The sequence below is a fragment of the Homo sapiens genome, chromosome 17 (genome assembly GCF_000001405.40).
Source record: "Homo sapiens chromosome 17, GRCh38.p14 Primary Assembly".
NCBI lineage: Eukaryota > Metazoa > Chordata > Mammalia > Primates > Hominidae > Homo > Homo sapiens.
Genome location: NC_000017.11, coordinates 53,196,199 through 53,216,735, shown reverse-complemented (window position 1 = coordinate 53,216,735; position 20,537 = coordinate 53,196,199).

Genomic DNA, 20,537 nt, shown 5'->3' with positions numbered 1-20,537 from the left:
TTGCAAATCTGATAAAGAACTCATATTCAGAATACATAAAGCATTCTCAAAACTCAATAATGTGAAAACAAAATACTCATATTATGAAGAACATTATTTAAACACAGGTGCTGCTGGACTTACCATGGGGTCACATCCTGATAAACCTATCAGCAAATCAAAAAATAACATTAAGAAAAAAATCTTTAGGTCAAACCATCCTAAATCAGAGACCTTCCATAGATAGATACCTGTGCTTGTGGGAGCAAAGAGAAATAATAATAAAGTAAAAAAATCTAAAAAGCAATTTAGTTTGTACAAGAACCAATGATTGCAGAGTTCCATAAATTAAAGGGTATGATTTATTCCCATTTATGGATCTGAGCTCCACTACAAATAAGCCCTGGAACTTGATTAAAATTCAATGTCTGTTACATCACTTTGGGCCAATGAAGACATTAAACATGGAAATTGTACAATATACAAAAATAAGTATAATAAAAGCTAGTATCAAACTCCTCTATGAAAACTCAAGTAAACCCCACAAATCCTGAGAAAAGGATACGAAAGTGTGCTCAGATGAGTCAAGGCCTAAGAGTAAACATGGAGTAAACATAGTACTTTGAATTGAATCATTTAAAGAAGTTAAAACACTCTTTTTTCATTCAGGCAAAAAGCTCTTTGTGTCTCTTAATATGATCAGTATTTCTCTTACTGGCCTGTAAGAGATTTATATTACTTCACAAGCCTGGTTCGGTCAAAGTGGTCAGATTCTTTTTCTTCTTTGAAGGAACTGTTACTATACCTAGATACATACTTAGAGGGTTAAATGACTGAGAAGTCACTTTGAAGTTTTTAGTGACTGACCGGGGCTAAACAAGCTCTGCGTTGGATTGTTTAGTGCTTGAATCTAGGGTCAAACAGCAGTCTATTTTCTGCCTTCTTTCTTGAACTTAAGAGAATTTCATATTCTCATCACAAAATAAAACAGTTGAAATACTGAATTAAATTTAAATTAAAAATACATGTTTATTAGACTACACTATTAAGAGGGCTCAAAGGCAAGCTACAGAATGGTAAAATGTATATTTTAACACAAATAAATGACAAGGCTTACATATGCAACACATATATAGGACTTACACTAATTAGTAAAGAAAAGAAAGGCAATAGAAAAATGGGTAAGTGACTTGAGCAGGCACTTCAAAAACAAAACAGGAGGCTCAAGTGTCCAATCACACTGTGAAAGTTGTTCATTTTCGTTTATTATTTGACACACACTAGTTAAAATTACAAATTATAGTGACAAATTATGAGATACCACTACAAACTTATCGGAATATTTCATCAAAAAAAAAAAAAAAGAGCAACAAAAATCCCAGCAAGGAAGCAAACTGACAGCATTCATGTACTGTTAGTGGGAGGAGATATTAGTACATCCATTGAGAGAACTGTTTATCTATTGTGGTTCAACATGTGCATATGTTATGACCCAATCATTCTATTCATGTGTGCACAATAGATATAACTAAATAAAAATTTATATAAAATGATTTTATAAAAACATTATATTCTTAATAGCTCCAAAGTGTAGAAACTGTTCATCAGTAGTGGAACAGTTAAAAATGCATAAACAAATTGTATCATATAATGATATAATGGGATATAATGGAATATAATGGAATATTATATAGTCATATAATGGAATATTATGTAGCACTGTATAGGAGTTGATTGCACCTGCATGCTATGCCATGGATTCTTATCACAATGTAATATTTGATAAAATAAGCTACATGCAAAATAATATATATTTCAGGAATGCATTTGTATAAAATTCAAAACAGGCCATCTTAATTTATATTGTTAGATGTGGGAATATTGGAAGGGAGCATAGTGATTAGGGAGGAGCTGGAGTTTTTTATGGTGCTGGAAATGCTCTGAGTTTTTACTTTGGTGGAGGTTAATTGGAAACATTCACTTTATGATAATTTGTTTCACTGCATAATTATGATGTATGTCTCTGTTTTCTGTAATCTTGAATTCCTGTTCTGGAAAGTGGGCCCCTGGATTGTTCTCACACTCTCTTTCTCCCATTCTTTGGAATATGGACACTTCATAAATGCCAAGGTGTTTGCCTTCCATTTGACAACCTCCTTCCAAGGTCCAGAGGCCAGATCTCAGTTCTTGACTTCCTAATGGGTGAACTTGAAGACCTACTGACAAATTTCTCTTCGGCCATTTTCTACCACCTTTCATAGCAAAATACTGTTCATCTTCAGTATTGTTACCTTTTTAAGGCTCTGCCCACCTGTCATCTATTATTATGTATAGTTTCCTCAATACCCCTTTCTCTCAGGATTTATACCCGTGGTATACCATGCCTGCTAGATACTATCTACTGACTATCCTTTTTTTCTATTTCTATAACTGGATTTTTGTTCTTATGACACCCCTCTCTACATTGACTAGTTGTCACTCTTGGGCTTATACCCTTGCCAGGCTGACCTGTATGCATAATTATAAATCATAAGTATAATTAATTCAGCACTTTTACTTGAAGGATGTTTGTTTGCAAACACATTTTATTCATTTACAGTGATTGGAATAGAAGAAGGCCAAGTGTGTGTTTTCAAACAGTAATTGGCAACTGGAAAACATGTTTGATCATAGATTTAAAAATCACTTGTCTATAAGTCTTGGCACTACAATATGAAAGCAATTACATAGTCATACCATATTAAAATAGAAGAGTAAAGATGTAATGTGTTCCAGGTGACTTAAAGGAAGATAATTTAAACTGAGTACTTCATACGGGTAAGTATGGAAGCTCTATGAAGCTGGTTTCACCTAAACAGCAGAAGATACCAGAAAGAAAATAGTGTCAGAGGAGCCAAACTGGAATTATGGAAGAGGTGACTCTCAGCTAGACTGTAGTCTTGATTGCCTCTGCTTGCCAGAGACAATGCTAAGGAAGAGAAGAAGCGGTGGGGTAGGGGAGGGGATTGTCCCAACCTCTCTCTCCTCCCTTTTGTGATCTGCTGCTGGTGACTTTCATTTTCCAGGCACAATGGGAGCCAGGTTTCCAGGGAATTCAGGTGATGTATGCGACAGTGTTCTATATCTTTTTGCATAAAATAGAGCCTGCAAGGGTGGGGAATGAATCTGAGGAGCAGAGATGAGAAATGAAGAACTAGCATAATTACTATGTTTGCTCCTGTATTTTATACTTATCAGATTATAATTAGAGGACTATATATCCTATGTCAAAAAATGCCAAATTGAGTTTAAAATAATTTGAATTGAAAAATGAAAATTATTCTGGTGTATAAGCACTACATTTTCATTTTCCAGTCTATCATTGGTGAGGATTTAGGTTGATCCCGTGCCTTTGCTACTGTGAATAGTGCTGCAATGAACATACGTGTGCATGTGTCTTTATAATAGAAAAATATGCAGCCATAAAAATTAACGAGATCATGTCCTTTGCAAGAATGTAGTTGGAGTTGGAGGCCATTATCCTTAGCAAACTAATGAAAGAAGAGAAAACCAAGTACTGCATGTTTTCACTTATAAGTGAGAACTAAATGATAACACATGGACACATAAACGGAACAACACACACAGGAGAGCGGAGGAGGGAGAGGATCAGGAAAAATAACTAATGGGTACTAAGCTTAATACCTGGGTTATGAAATAATCTGTACAACAAACATTCATGACACAAGTTTACCTATGTAACAAACCCACGCCATGTATCCCTGAACTTAAAATTTATTTTTTAAAAAAGAAAACTATCCTGGAATAGCCTGTGTTGATTGATTTTTTTATGTCAATTGCATGCAATGAGGATTATGTGCTTGCTATATGTAAGCACTGTCCTAAGTACTTTACATATAATAATCTAGTTATATATTATTCCTCATAAAAGAACAGGGTAGTTACACTTATTTTCCCATTCTTTCTTTCAGATAAAGGAAGTGAGTCGCAGATCAGTTACAGTAAATTGCCAAAGTTCACGTAACTGGTTAGTTTAAACTCCTCAGAGTTGTGCTGTGTACAACTAGAAAAACAAAAAAGAGGAAAGAAATATAACATTAATTGAACAATAACTTGTCTTAGGAATATCTGGAACACTATACATGTCTGTTAGAACATTACTTTTATAATACTTCCTGCTGCATTTTTTCTTTCCATAACCTTTTTTTCCTTTCCTGAAAATGCCTTCCTCCTTTGATGCTCAGCCATTAGGTTTTTCATCCACAATGATAGACGTATTAGTTAAACAACGAGGTCCAGCATGTGGGACAGAAGAATGTAACATTAGAGATATTCTCATTCAGCAGCAAAGAAAAATAAAAATAAGCTCTGCAAAGGGATATCGGGGTGGATAAGTAGATTCTGAGAGCTTGAGAATAAGGTTGAATAATACCTTCTTGGAACACTTAGGCCTCAAGGAAACAAATTTGTAGTTTAACTTCTCAAATTATTTTCAAAGTAAATACTTGGCATACAATCCAAGTATAAAGGTAAATCTTTATAGATGTGTATAGGTCAGTTATTTATGATTAATTCTGTTTCCAGAAATCCCAAATCTGAGCCTATAGCCTGCAATTTTGGTACATTTCCATAATTAGTCATTTATTAACAATACTTACAAAAGTTGTTTGATTTCATATAGACAGAGAAAATAGCCATCATAGAACTTATGAAAAAATCTTAACTATCTTAACTATCTCTCATTGCGAACTCAAGATTATAACTAAAAAAAAAACTTTAAAAATCCATGGTATCAGTGGTTGCAAAATCTGAAGTCTTATTGTATTTGGCAAATTAAATGTGAGGTAAACAGTAAAATGGTCTTCATCAGCAGAAAAGAAAGATAAATGACTTTTTAATGACAGGTTCTCAATATTTGGAAGAATAGTAAAGCAGGAAACCTAAGCATCCCCTAGGTGTTACTAAGAAACTCATTGCAGCTGTCAGTCAATGTAATTGACATAAAGAGAAAATGAAATCTATTCTAACATAATACTGGGAGTTAACGTTAATAAAACATGGCAGAAAAGTCCAAAGAGTGTCTGAAATGTTCCATATGCAAGTCCATTGATAACTGAATGCTTCTAACTGTTCTTAATGCATGAACCAGAATATGAAGCAGGCTTTCCTACAGGACTTTTAGGAGGAATTAAAAGTGCTGATTTTATTAAGAAGATACTGAATTATATGGATGGACATGGAAAGATGACCATGTTACAGTGTTAAGTGAACTAGAAGGCCATTTCTGACCGTTGTATTAATACAAAGCAAGATTTCAGTTAAAACAGAAGCAGCAATAACAACTTGAAGAATCTCCAGGGTTTTCCTCAATGGCAAGTTATATAGATCAGTATGCTTTCAAATGTTGTATTTCTCCTATGGTGAAAGGCGTATTTCCAAAACTGTTCATGTTTAGTGACTATTTTGGCTGTAGAGATAGGTGTTTTCAATTCTCTCCCCCTGTGAACATCAGGCTACTACCTTAATAAGAAGCAGACACAAGCTCCTAGAATGAACAAGGAGATACTTGTTTTCCTTTCACATTTTATACTCATTTAGTTGAGGAAAAAAATGGAAGAGAATTAGAAATCGTAAAATACTTAAAGTACTACGTGAGTGTAGGTGGTGCAATTGCTGATTGCTGGCATTAATTCTTGTTCCTATGTCTCCTTTTATCATTTTTCTGATGTATTTTGGGGGTTACCAAAGGTTTATTTTTGGCCTCTGGCCTCCCAAAGCCATTGGATATAATTCTTTGTACTCTTGTTACTTCTGAGCCTACCCAACTTCTGAGTTGATACTTGCTATGCCATTTTCTCATTTTTTTTAAATGATCTCCAGTACTGCACTCTGCTTCCCAATTTCTAGCTTGTTATGTTCCTTCCATACTCTTGCCATCAGCTTCCCTTAGATGCTTATCTGCAAAGGGTTCCATATTTTAAACTCTCTATCTCCAGCCCAGACCTCACCTCTTAAATACACACTGAATATATCCAATTGCCAGTCCTCTCAGGCTGTTATAACAAAATATCTTAGTCGAGGTAATTTATAAATTTACAGCAGTAACTTCAATTTACTGTTCAAGGTGGCAGCAGATTCAGTGCCTGGTGAGGCCTCACTCTATCCTTCAAAGATGGTGCCTTCTCACGGTGTCCTCACATGACAAGAGGGCAAAAGGCTATGTCCTCACATGATGGAAGGAACAGTAAGCTTTCTCAAGCCTCTTATGTATGGACACTAATCCCATTTATGGGGGTGGTCCCCATGTGACCTAATCACCTGCTGAAGGCCCACCTCTTAATACTGCCACAATGAGGATTAGATTTCAACATTAATTTTGGAGGAACAAAAGCATTCAGACCATAGCACCAAATATCTTCTAGTTTTTATTTGGTAATTTTACAGGCACCAAAAAATTTTACCAAGCATTATACTTTTATGATTAAGACTATGAGTTTTGAACCTAGAATTGCTAGATTTGAATCTTTATTACTTATAACTGTGTGACCTTAAAGAAATGATTTAACCTCTAAGATCAAATGATTGTAGATGTGTGGTGTTACTTCTGAGGCCTCTGTTCTGTTCCATTGTTCTATATATCTGCTTTGGTATCAGCACCTGACAAAAACAAGCAATGGGGAAAGGATTCCTCATTTAATAAATGTTGTTGGGAAAACTGGATAGCCATATGCAGAAAACTGAAACTGGACCCCTTCCTTACACCTTATACAAAAATTAACCCAAGATGGATTAAAGACTTAAACATAAGACCTAAAACCATAAAAACCCTAGAAGAAACCTTAGGCAATACCATTCAGGACATAGGCATCGGCAAAGACTTCATGATTAAAACACCAAAAACAATGGCAACAAAAGCCAAAATTGACAAATGGGATCTAATTAAACTAAAGAGTTTTTGCACAGCAAAAGAAACTATCATCAGAGTGAAGAGGCAACCTAGAGAATGGGAGAAAATTTTTGCAATCTATCCATCTGACAACAGGCTAATATCCAGAATCTATAAGAAACTTAAACAAATTTACAAGAAAAAAAACTAACAACCCCATCAAAAACGGGGCGAAGGATAGGAACAGACACTTCTCAAAAGAAGACATTTATGCGGCCAACAAACATACAAATAAAAGCTCATCATCACTGGTTATTAGAGAAATGCAAATCAAAACCACAATGAGATACCATATCACCCCAGTTAGAATGGACGATCATTAAAAAGTCAGGAAACAACAGACGCTGGAGAGGATGTGGAGAAATAGGAACACGTTTACACTGTTTGTGGGAGTGTAAATTAGTTCAACCATTGTGGAAGACAGTGTGGCAATTCCTCAAGGATCTAGAACCAGAAATACTATTTGACCCAGCAATTCCATTACTGGGTATATACCCAAAGGATCATAAATCACTCTGCTACTCTGCTATAAAGACAAATGCACATGAATGTTTACTGTAGCACTATTCACAATAGCAAAGACATGGGACTAACCCAAATGCCCATCAATGATAGAATGGATAAAGAAAATGTGGCACATATACACCATGGAATACTATGCAGCCATAAAAAAGGATGAGTTCATGTCCTTTGCAGGGATATGGATGAAGCTGGAAACCATCATTCTCAGCAAACTAACACAAGAACAGAAAACCAAACACCACATGTTCTCACTCATAAGTGGGAGTTGAACAATGAGAACACACGGACACAGGGCAGGGAACATCACACATCAGAGGGTGGGGACTTAGGGGAGGGATAACATTAGGAGAAGTACCTAATGTAGATGATGGGTTGATGGGTGCAGCAAACCACCATGGCACATGTATACCTATGTAACAAACCTGCACATTCTCCACATGTACCCCAGAACTTAAAGTATAAAAGAAAAAGAAATGATTTAACCTTTCCTTTTTTAATTTTTTTTTAAATTTCCATAGGTTATTGAGGAACCAGAGGTGTTTGGTTGCATGAGAAAGTTCTTTAGTGGTGATTTGTGAGATTTTCATGCACACATCACCTGAGTGATATACACGGAATCCTATTTGCAGTATTTCATGCCTCACCCTCTTCCCGCCCTTTCCCCCTGAGTCCCCAAAGTCCACTGTGTCTTTCTTACACCTTTGCATTCTTATAGCTTAGCTCCCACTTCTGAGTGAGAACATACAATGTTTGGTTTTCCATTCCTGAGTTACTTCACTTAGAATAATTGTCTTCATCTCATCCAGGTCATTGTGAATGCCATTAATTCATTCCTTTTTATGGCCAAGTAGTATTCCATCATATATATATGATGGAATATATATATATGATTATATATATAATTATATATATATATGTACGATTATATATATATACACCACAGTTTTTTGTTGTTGCTTTTGCTTTTTTGAGATGGAGCTTTGCTGATGTTGACCAGGTTGGAGTGCAATGGCGCAATCTCGGCTCATCCCATCCTCCGCCTCCTGGGTTCAAGTGATTCTCCTGCCTCAGCGCCCCAATTAGCTGGGATTACAGGCATGTGCTGCCATGCCTGGCTAATTTTTTTGTATTTTTAGTACAGACAGGGTTTCTCCACGTTGGTCAGGCTGGTCTTGAGCTCCTCAGGTGATCCGCTGGCCTCAGCCTCCCAAAGTGCTGGGATTACAGGTGTGAGACACTGCACCTGTACCTGGCCTATACCACAGTTTCTTTATCCTCTCATTGGTTGATGGGCATTTGGGTTAGTTCCATGTTTTTGCAATTGCAAATTGTGCTGCTATACACGTGTGTGCAAGTATTTTTTTTCATATAATGACTTCTTTTCCTCTGGGTGGATATCCAGTAGTGCAACTGCTGGGTCAAGTGGTAGTTCTACTTTTAGTTTTTTAAGGAATCTCCACACTATTTTCCATAGTGGTTGTACTAGTTTATATTCCCACCAGCAGTGTGGAAGTGTTCCCTGTTCACTGCATCCATGCCAACATCTGCAATTTTTTGATTTTTTGATTATAGCCATTTTTCCAGGAGTAAGGCAGTATTGCATTGTGGTTATGATTTCCATGTCCCTGATTATTAGAGAAGTTGGGCATGTTTTATATGTTTGTTGGCCATTTGTATATCTTCTTTTCAGTATTGTCTATTCATGTATTTAGCCACTTTTGACGGGATTGTTTTTTTCTTGCTGGTTTGTTTGAGTTTGTTGTAGATTCTGGATATAAGTTCTTTGCCAGATGTATAGATTGTGAAGATTTTCTCCCACTCTGTGGGTTGTCTGTTTACTCTGCTGACTGTTCCTTTTGCCGTGTAAAAGCTCTTTAGTGTAATTAAGTCCCAGTGCTTTGGTGACTATGGCCTCATAGTATAGTCTGAAATCAGGTAATGTGATTTCTCCAGATTTGTTCTTTTTGCTTAGTCTAGCTTTGGCTATGAGGGCTCTTTTTTGGTTCCATATGAATTTTAGAATTGCTTTTTCTAATTCTAAGAAGAATGATGGTGGTATTTTGATGGGAATTGCATTGCATTTGTAGATTGCTTTCGGCAGTATGGTCGTTTTCATAATATTGATTCTATCTATCCATGAGCATGGGATGTGTTTCCATTTGTTTGTGTCATCTATTTCTTTCAGTAGTGTTTTGTAGTTTTCCTTGTAGAAGTCTTTCACCTCCTTGGTTAGGTGTATTCCGAAGTTATTTTTTGTTTGTTTGCTTTTGTTTTTTTGCAGCTATTGTAAAAGGGGTCGAGTTCTTGATTTGATTCTCAGCTTGGTCTATGTTGGTGTATAGAAGAACTACTGCTTTGTATACATTTATTTTGTATACGGAATCTTTGGTGAATTCTTATATCAGTTCTAAATAGGAGCTAATAAATGATTTAATCTTTCTGTCCTTTTTTTTTTACCTGCAAATGAAAGTAAGTATAATATCTACCTTATAAAAGTATGGTGATAATTAAACAGATTAATCACTTGGAACAGTTTCCACACATAGTAAATTCTCAACCTAATTTACTGTTAGCCATCCCTCTTTATTTTTCAGTAGGCTGGAGTGCACCTTCAGGATGCTGTTTCAGGGAAAATTTGTAAATATTTTATTTCCTGAGACATTACATATGTGACTGAATCTGTTGAAAGGCCAGACATAAAAAAGAGTTTGGCTACTTAAATATTTACAACATGTTTCTGTTATTTTCTTCTGGGAAAACAAACCATGAAAAACCACTGTATAATAGATCCTGGGGGTAGATTTACACCTGTGTTGTATGCCTCCTGCTATAGAAGATGAAAAAGCTAGAAAATGGCTTTCTCCATCTCCCTTGCATTTTGGGGATGCCAGATCTAGAGATCTGGTAAATGGCTTACAATAGAAAGACTGCCTGAGGCTCTTAGGCAACGTATCTCTCCTTAACAAGGGAGAGGGATAATTTAAGAAAGTTATGTCATCTACTTGCTACCCCTCTTTGGTTGGCAGAAAAATGATTCTCCCAAAGATGTAACTTCCCTAATCCCTGGGCTCTGTGGGGTTATTTTATATAACATCAGAAATTGTAAAACACTTAAAGTACTACATAAGTATATAGTGGTGCAATTCTGGACATTATCAATTGTGTTTATTCTCAAGACTGCATTGTGAACCACTGGGGAGAAGTCTGTTTTGTGTATCTTTTTTTGCTTACTGAGTTCACTGCAGATTCTTACACAGAGAAAGAGATTAATATACACTTTTTCAATTGCTGTTTAAATTAATGCCTTTTATTTTTTAGCACTACTCCAGGAAACAGCTTGACAGTGCAAGAATGTCGTATTTGCCATGTAAAACTTTCTATATTGTCGAATTAATTAGTCAATTAATGTTTTTACAATGGTTCATAAATGTTATTAGCTGATTAATTCTGGGTCATCATTTGCATAATGTTCACAAAATATACCTGTAACATTTGAGTTGTAAGTCAAACACCAACATCAGCACAGAGATATTTCACATTTTTAAAATAAATTAACTTATGTAGGAACAGTTAATCCTTGATGTCAATCAATGCTGCTTTTTTCCCTTAAGTAATTTAAAATATAATTTCCCCTTGGATTTTAAAAGCATTGAGATATGCCATATTGAATAAAATCAACTCTGCTTGGGAAAAAGAATGACACACTTCATATAGCCTGAGAATAATTTGCCATAGACTAATGTAGTTTCTCTTAGAATTCATCGCAATTCAACCTGAATATTATCAGAAAGAAAAATCTAATTCTGACATTAATTTAGAAGGCACAAGCTACTGGACTGAAAATCATTGCAGTGGAATTTATAAAGTGATAAACTGTCTTGAAAGTGAAATACATAGTGAAGAAAATCAAGAGGTATAATTATTCATATTTTTCTTTCTCAATAACTATGTTGCTTATATACCACATTTGTATAATTATCATCTCTGAAGCCATCAGAGGACTGTCCAGTACAGTTGATAAAGTTCATGAGTATGTTTCTTTCAGATGCATATGTGTACTGTATGTGCACACATCATATATACTTTTGTATCAGAGGATTATTATTATGGTGTTAGTTTATATTTTTACACTTTTACAGTTTATAAATGCTGAAACATACATAATCTACTTTGCCTTTTTTTTTTTTTTTTTTTTTTTTTTTGAGACGGAGTCTCGCTCTGTCGCCCAGGCTGGAGTGCAGTGGCGCGATCTCGGCTCACTGCAAGCTCTGCCTCCCGGGTTCAAGCAATTCTCCTGCATCAGCCTCCTGAGTAACTGGGACTACAGGCGTGCACCACCACACACAGCTAATTTTTGTGTTTTTAGCAGAGACAGGGTTCCACCATGTTGGCCAGGATGGTCTGGATCTCTTTACCTCGTGATCTGCCCACCCTGGCCTCCCAAAGTGCTGGGATTACAGGTGTGAGCCACCGCACCCAGTCTCTGCCTGCTTTTATTCTGGGTGGGCTGGCAGATGACTAGACTGTGGCCACCCAGATTGAGGGTGGGTCTGCCTTTCCCAGTCCACTGACTCAAATGTTAATCTCCTTTGGCAACATCCTCGCAGGCACACCCAGAAACGTCACTTTGCATCCTTCAAGCCAATCAAGTTGACACTCAATATTAACCATCACACTTTGTTTTATTCTTTTCACCTTTTTCTTATGACATACACAGAAAATATGCCTGACATATAAAACTTGGGGATTCATCACAAAGTTGAGACCATGCAACCACAACCCTACTCAAGCAAAAGAATATTGACAATACCCTGGAAACCTTTTGATGCTCTTTTCCAATCATTATCTCCTCCTTCCCACACAAAAATAATCTTTATCTAACTTTTATATGAAACCATTCTTCACTTTTTCATTATTTTAATATCTGGATTTTCTTCCCTAAATATTATAACTTACTTTTACTACTCTTTTGCTATAAATTAAAATGAAATAATATATATTCTTCTTTGTTTAGCTTCTTGTATATGCAACATTATGTTTGTGAGATGTAGCCATGTTGTTCTTTATTTTCAGAGTTGTATAGTACACTTGTAGCAATATGCCCATCTTTGTCAGCTTGAGGGACTGATCTAGTTTGTATATTTGTCCCCACCAAAATGTCATACTGAATTGTAATCCCCAGTAGTGGAAGTGGGGCCTGGTAAGAGGTGATTGGATCATGGGGGAGAATTTCTCATAAGTGTGTTAGTACTATTCCCTTGGTGCTGTCCTCGCAATTTTTGTGAATGAGATCTCCTGAGATCTGGCTATTTAAAAAGGTATAGTCCCTCCTCACCTTCCTCTGTCTTGCTCCTGCTTTTCACCATGTGATGTGCCTTCTCTCACTTCACCTTCCATAATGAGTAAAAGCTTCTTGAGACCTCACCAGAAGCCAAGCAGATGCTGGTCCCACATTTGTACAGCCTGCAGAACTGTTAAATGACTCAGTCTCATGTATTTTTGTAATAGCAACACAAGAATGGACTGATATAGGGGCTATAATAAAATATCATAGTCCAGGCTGTTTAAACAACAGAAATTTGTTTCTCACAGTTTTGAAGGTTGGGAAGTCCAAGATCAAGGTGCTGGCTGATGTGGTTCCTAATGAGGGCTCTCTTCTTTTGTTTCACAGAGTGGCCTCCTCCTTATGTTCTCAGGTGACCTTTCCTCAATGCTCTTTTTGCCTCTTCTTACATGGCCATAGATCTCATCTTAAGGGCTCCATTCTCACTGCCTCATCTAACCCTAATTACATCACAAAGACTCCAACTCCAAATACCAACCCACGGGGAGTTAAGATTTCAATGTATGAATTTTAGAGAAACACAGATATTGAGGCCATAACAATGCCATACTTTGTTAGCCACTTTTTCTATTCTAGTTTTAAAAATATTGCTGGTAAACATTCCTATTTATATTCAATGTTCTATACATGCATGCATCTCTGTTGTTATGAAATTACTTAGTAACAAGGTATGCAGTTCCTCAACTTCATTAGATAATGCCAGTTTTCCAAATTATCAATTTACGTATTTAAACAAATTTACATTCCCACCAGCAGCATATAAAATTTTTATCACTTTACAGTCTGGTTTTAATTTTAGCAATTCTGAAGACTGAGTAATGGCTTCTCACTGTGGTTTGAAATGGCAATATTCTCAGAGGTTAAACAACTTTTTATAGCTTACTTGCAATTTGGGTCACTCCTTTTGTGAGGCACATTTTGAAATCTCTTGCTTATTTTTTTGGGCTTGTTGTTCCTTTCTTAATGATGATATAATTTCTTTATATACCCTGTACATGAGTTCCTTGTTGATTATATGTAATGTAACATTTTTCACCCACTCATTGACTTGCCTTTTCTTTCTTAATTACTTAAAACAATAGAAGTCATCTCTCTCTCCTCTCTTTAAATCAACTTTATTAAGATACAATTTAAACCCAATGATATGAACACATCTAGTGTGTAACTCTCAAAGAAGTTTTAAGATATTATGCACCTGTGCAATACCACCAAAATCAAGACATTAATCACTTCCTTCATCCCAGAATGTTCATCCATTTCCCTTTGCGGTCAAACTCTTCCCTACCACCATCCCACCTTCATCACTTTGGGCAATTACTGATCTATTTCTGTCTCCAAAAATTAGTATTGTTCTTTGCAACTTAATATAGTTACACATATTTCTTTTGGGCAATGTTTGCTTCATTTTCTTTTTTCTAGCTTTCTTTTAATTCAAAATTTCTGCAGCCTTTCTTTTACATATGCCTTCTAACTCCACATCTAGTTGGAATATAAGAATATCATTTTTCATTACTTCTCTATTATCTGGAGTATTTACAGTAGTTACTCCTTCATTAGCTGTAAGGTTTCACATAAAAAAAACTGGAGATTCATTCTTCTTGTTGTTGGATTTAACTTAGTCGTATTTCTCAATCTTTTAATTTTTGACTAGAGCTTGCTATGTTTTATGCAAGAAAACTTTCCCTGTGAGTACAATAGCACTCCTTATCTGCATTTTCCATTAATTATTGAGAGAGAGAGAGAAAGAGAGAGAGAGATGCTTAAGTAGAGATGAAATTCTGGAAATTGTATCAGTATGTAATACTAGAAAATTTCTGTAATTAAAAAAAGGAGAACTGACCCATTTAGTTTATTTTTTACTGATGTCAGTACAGGAATCCTAAGTAAAAGAAAGTATTTTTAACAAAAATCATATAATATTCCTGAGTTCCCATTAGTTCCTTGAAGTAAAACCTTAGACATTTGAACCTGTTCTTTCATGCCTCCAGGTATAAGCATAAAAACTCCAGGTATAAACATAAAAATTCCCCTCGGAATTTTTATCTATTTTATATGGTTTAGCGGTAGCCAGTACGCAGATTTCCAGAGTGTTGATGTAAATGGTCAAAAGGGTCCAGGCAGACATAGCTGATAAGAATTCACCATTTTCCCTCTACATATTATGGGTTTACAGATTCCATCTCCAATGTTGGCAGATAAATCACTTACTGTGCATTCCAGCCAGTCAATTGCAAATATCTCATATTTCCCTCAATATATCTTTACAAATCTATACTCAATATCACCTAGAATTTTTCAGTTGCAAATAATATAAATTCATGGACTGATTTATGATATAATATAATAGGACTTTTAGTGTCAGCTCCAATATGTAAAGAGCTTAGAAGATTGCTATCCTCACAATAAGAAAAAAAGACTAAATCAACTGAAAATCAACAACTTTTCTTGGAGCCTTCAGAGAACTGAGGTTTCAGGGAAATCTGCTACCCTGAAATCTGGAAAGACAGGCAAATCCAGAGAGTCATAGCTAAAAACTACTTACCTGGAGCAGATGCCACTAGAATATTAAATGAGGAGAACACTTAAGTGGTAGATTTGATGGATTTCTGGAGGCAACTACAATGAGTTATCACCTCACTCTATTTAGCATGGCTGTTATTAAAAAGACAAAAAGTAACAACTACTGGCAAGGACGCAGAGAAAAGGAAATGTTTATGCACTGTTGGTGGGAATGTAAACTAGCATAGACACAATGAATAACAGTGTGAAGGTTTCTCAAAAAACCACAAATATAACTACCATAGGATCCAGCAAACCCACTATTGGGTATTTAATCCAAAGAAAGGAAATCGGTATATCAAAGAGACATCTGCATGCCCATGTTTATTGTAGCACTATTCACAATAGCCAAGATATGGAATCAACCTAAGTGTCCAACAACAGATAAATGGATAAAGAAAATGTGATATATATATATATGTATACACACACACACACACATACACACACACACACACACACACACACAATGGAATACTATTCTACCATACAGAAGAATAAAATCCTGTCATTTGTGGCAACATGGATGAAACTGAAGGACAACATATTAAATGAAACAAGCCAGGAACAGAAAGTTAAACACTGCATGTACTCACTCATGTGTGGAAGCTAAAGACAGTTGATCTCATAGAAGTAAAAAGTGGAACACAGGACACCAGAGACTGTGGAGGGTGAGGGGAAAAAAGCATAGGGAAAGATTTCCTAAAGGATATAAAGTTACAGCTCAATAGGAGGAATTCTAGCGTTCTATAGCATTGTAGGATGACAATAGGATAATTATTATAGAGTTTTAAATAGCTAGAAGGGGGATATTAATGTCGCCAACACAAAAAATTATAACTGTTTGAATTGATGGATATGCTAATTACCTGATCTGACATCCATACATTATATGTACCAAAGCATCGCTATGTACTTCATAAATATATACAATTATCATATATCAGTTAAAAATAAAGGGAGAAAAAGTAAAAATGAAAAATAAAGTTTCTAAACTGAATTTCAAAGTCAAAAATAAAAATTAAAAAGTTAAAAACAGATCCAAGATCTACAGCATAATTTCCAAATATGTAACTAATATATTAGGTTGGTACAAAAGTAAATGCTGTTTTGCCATTTTTTTAAAGTCTTGGCAAAAAACACTATTGCTTTTACACTAACCTAATATAAATAAAACTGGAATAGCAGAAAAAGAAAAACTTAGAATGGAGCAGGAGAAATATTTGATATAATAATAGACAAAACCTTTCCAAAAATAATGACAGATATCAAACCATAGATCTAGGAAGCTCTGAGAAAAGCAAATAGTATAAATCCTGCAGAATTACTCTTACACATATCATACTTAGATAGCAAAAAATTGAAGCCAGAGAAAATATTGAAAGCAGCTGGTGAGGAGGGGAACATCTTGCCTATAAAGGAACAAGGATAAAAATTACAGCAGACTTATCATCAGGAAATATGCAAGCAAGAAAGAAATGGAGTTGAAATAAAGTATTGAAAGAAAGAATCCCCAGCAATTTAGAAATCTATGTCCTACAAAATTATACTTTAAAAGTAAAGGAGATATCATAACTTTATCTGACAAACAAAACAGGGACTTTATGGTTACGAGATCTTCCTTTCAATAAACATTAAAAGAATTTCACTAGAAAAAGGAAAATGCTATCCATCAGAAACTTGGACCTGTTATACATGAAGAAAGGAAGGATTCGGGGGAAAGAATAAATGATGATAGATTAAGGTTTTTTTTTCCTATTCTTTATTTATAAGTTAATTATTTGTATGAAGTAATATTGGTAACAATGTACTGGGTGATTACAAAATATGGATAAGTGGAATGAATTGTAAGCAATGCCATAGGGATCAAAGTCTCAGGGACAGGTAAGAAGAATTAGGAATACTCTTTTATCATGTACCTGCCTTATATGTGAAGTGGCATAACGTTATATGTAGGTGGACTTAAGCTACCTAAAAATTCCTATTGGAAACTTTAAGGCAAACAATAAAAAAACTAAAAAGAGGACAGGCACAGTGACTCACGCCTGTAATCCCAGTACCTTGGGAGGCAGAGGTGCCAGATCACTTGAGCTCAGGAGTTTAAGACCAGCCTGGGGAACATGGCAAAACACCACTCCCATCTCTACAGAAAAAATACAAAAATTAGCTGGGCCTGGTGGCATGTGCCTGTACTCCCAGCTACTCAGGAGGCTGAGGTGGGAGGATCCATTGATCTCAGGGCAGAGAAGCGAGTTGAGGCTGCAGTGAGCCATGATCATGCCACTGCACTCCAGCCTGGGGCAACAGAGAGAGATGCTATCTAAAAACAAAAACTTAAAAATTAAAAAGAAGTGTAAGTGATATGTTAAGAGAACAGATAAAATATAATAATAGAAAGTGCTAAATTTAAATCAAGAAAGCATACAAAGGAAGGAGAAAAATGAACCAAAGAACAAATGCAATGAATAAAGAGGAGTTACAAAAATCGAATGTATTAACCAACTATATCAATACTCACTTTAAATAGTCGAAATAAACCAGTTAAAATAAAAAGATATTTAGAGTGAATATTTAAACTCTTTTGAATATAAAGCTTAAAAAGTTTAAAAGTAAAGGAGTGAGGAAAGAAATACCATGCTCATATTAATATGAGCAGTGCTGGAGTCACTAATTTCAGATAAAGCATACCTAAGAACAAAGAAAAGAGGGGCATTATATAATGATCTCTCAGTCATTTTCTGTGAAGACATGCAACCTTAAACATGAATATGCCAAACTGGAGAGTTTCAAAGTACGTGAGAAAAAACTGATAGAATTGCAAAGACAAATTGACAAATCTGCTACCATAGTCCATGACTTCAACACCTTCTTTTTAGTTATTGATACATCAAGCAGGCAGAAAATCAGTAAGGATAGAGTGGACTTCAAAAGCACTACTAACTGGCTTCATCTAATAGACATTGATACCTGCATCCAACAACAGAATGCACGTGCTTCCAAAACTCACATGAAACATTCACCAACATGGATTAAATGAGCAATAAAATGCAACTTAACAAATGTTTTAAAAAAGAAAGCTACGCACATATGTTCTCAGATCACATTGCAATTAAACTAGAAATCAATAAAAGAAATAGAGAAGAAATGTATCCCACCAATAGTGTATAAGCATTGCCTTTGCTCCACAGCCTCGCCAACATTTGTTGTTTTTTGACCTTTTCTAATTGTTATTCTGATTGGTGTGAGATAGTATCTCATTGATGGGAGTTAGTTTCTCATCTCTGATGATTGGTGATGTTGAGCATTTTTTTATGTTTTTGGCCGTTGTATGTCTTATTTGGAGAGTGTCTGTTCATGTCCTTTGTCCATTTTTAAATGAGATTATTTTGTTTTATTCTTGTTGGTTTGTTTCAGCAGTTTGGAGATTTCTCAAATACTTAAATTGAACTATTATTCGACTCAGCAATGCCACTGACTGGTTATATACCCGAAGGAAAATAATTCATTCTATCAAAAAGACACATGCACCCATACGTTCATTGCAATACTCTTCACAATAGCATATACTTGGATTCAACCTAGGTGCCCATGAACAGTGGATTAGATAAAGAAAATGTGTTACATATACACCATTTAATACTACGCAGCCATAAAAAAGAATGTAATCATGTCCTCTGCAGCAACATGGATGGAGCTGGAGGCCATTATCCTAAGCAACCTAACACAGAACAAAAAACAAAATACTGCATGTTCTCACTTATGAGTAGCAGCTAAACACTGAATACACATGAACATAAAGACGGGAACAACAGACAGTGGGGACCACCAAATGTGGGGGCAGGGGGACATTGCCTAAAAAACCACCTGTTGAGTACTATGCTTACAGCCTGGGTGATGGGGTCTTTGGGACCCTAAGCATCTAACAAACCTGCATGTGTATCTTTAATCCTGTTAGCCATCTAACAAACCTGCATGTGTATCTTTAATCCATAAAAACAGTTGAAAAAAAAATCCAAGTCCATGGAAATTAAACAACATACTGCTAAATAGCACATAAGTCAAAGAATTTTCAAGTTAATTTTAAAAACTAATTTTGAGCTGAGTGAAAACAGAAAGACAACTTAAAAATAGCATGGGATACAGCAAAAGTGCTCAGAGATAAATTCATAGCATTAAATTTACATATTAGAAAATATATAACTAAAATAAAAAGCTTACGCTTCTACCTCAGGAAAAAAGCAAATGAAGAGAAATTTAAGTCTAATGAAAAACAGAATAAAATAAATAGTAAAATCTGATTCACTCAAAACGGAATGTACATGTTATATATTCTAAATATAAAGTGAAAACCTCCTAGAAGATAACATAAAAATTTCAGTGACCCTGGGTCTGGCAATGACTTTTAGACTCAACACAAAGATACAATCCACGAAACAAATAATTGATCAACTGAACTTCATTAAAATTAAAAACTACTCTGTGAAAGTTACTGTCAGGAGCATGAGAAGGCAAGCCAAGACGGGAAGAAAAAATTTGCAGATGATTTTATTTTCTATGCATAAAATTCAAATAAATGACCAAGAAAAATCCTGGAACTAATAAGTGAGTATAGAAGAGAATAAGAATGCAACGTTTATGTAACTCAATTGCATTCCTATATGCTAGCCCTAACGCTCAAGTCTTCTAGGGAAGCAAAGTGGGCCTTACAGGATGGGCATAGCTGGCCATGCTCCACTGCAGTTCCCACCCCTAACACTTCTAAGCAGTTCTCTCTGCCAGCTTAAGTGTTCACAGGGGCCATGGGATCTCCTGCTGCCAGGATTCCAGAAGTCCCTGCAAGAGCAGATCATTCCTCGCTTGTTCAACTTACTCCTTCCCCAGGAATCGCTGGGGGACAGGAAGGAATCCTGCTGCACAGTAGCCCCATGCAGAGTTCCCAGCTTCCTCTCCCTTCAGCCTAGTGTCTGTTTCCTCCCTCTGTCCACTCAATACCTTCCCTACAAAGATTTATTTGGAGTGTACTAGTCTTCCCAATGTCCCTGTCCCTCAGTCACTTGGTGTCAGATATTCCTCTGGACTGGGTCTAGTCCACCATCCTGCCTCTCTTCCCAGAGCTCTCTTGATATATCAAAGTGAGGCTTAAAGAAAGTATTCGGGAGGCTTCAGTGGATGGAAACAGGGTCCCTG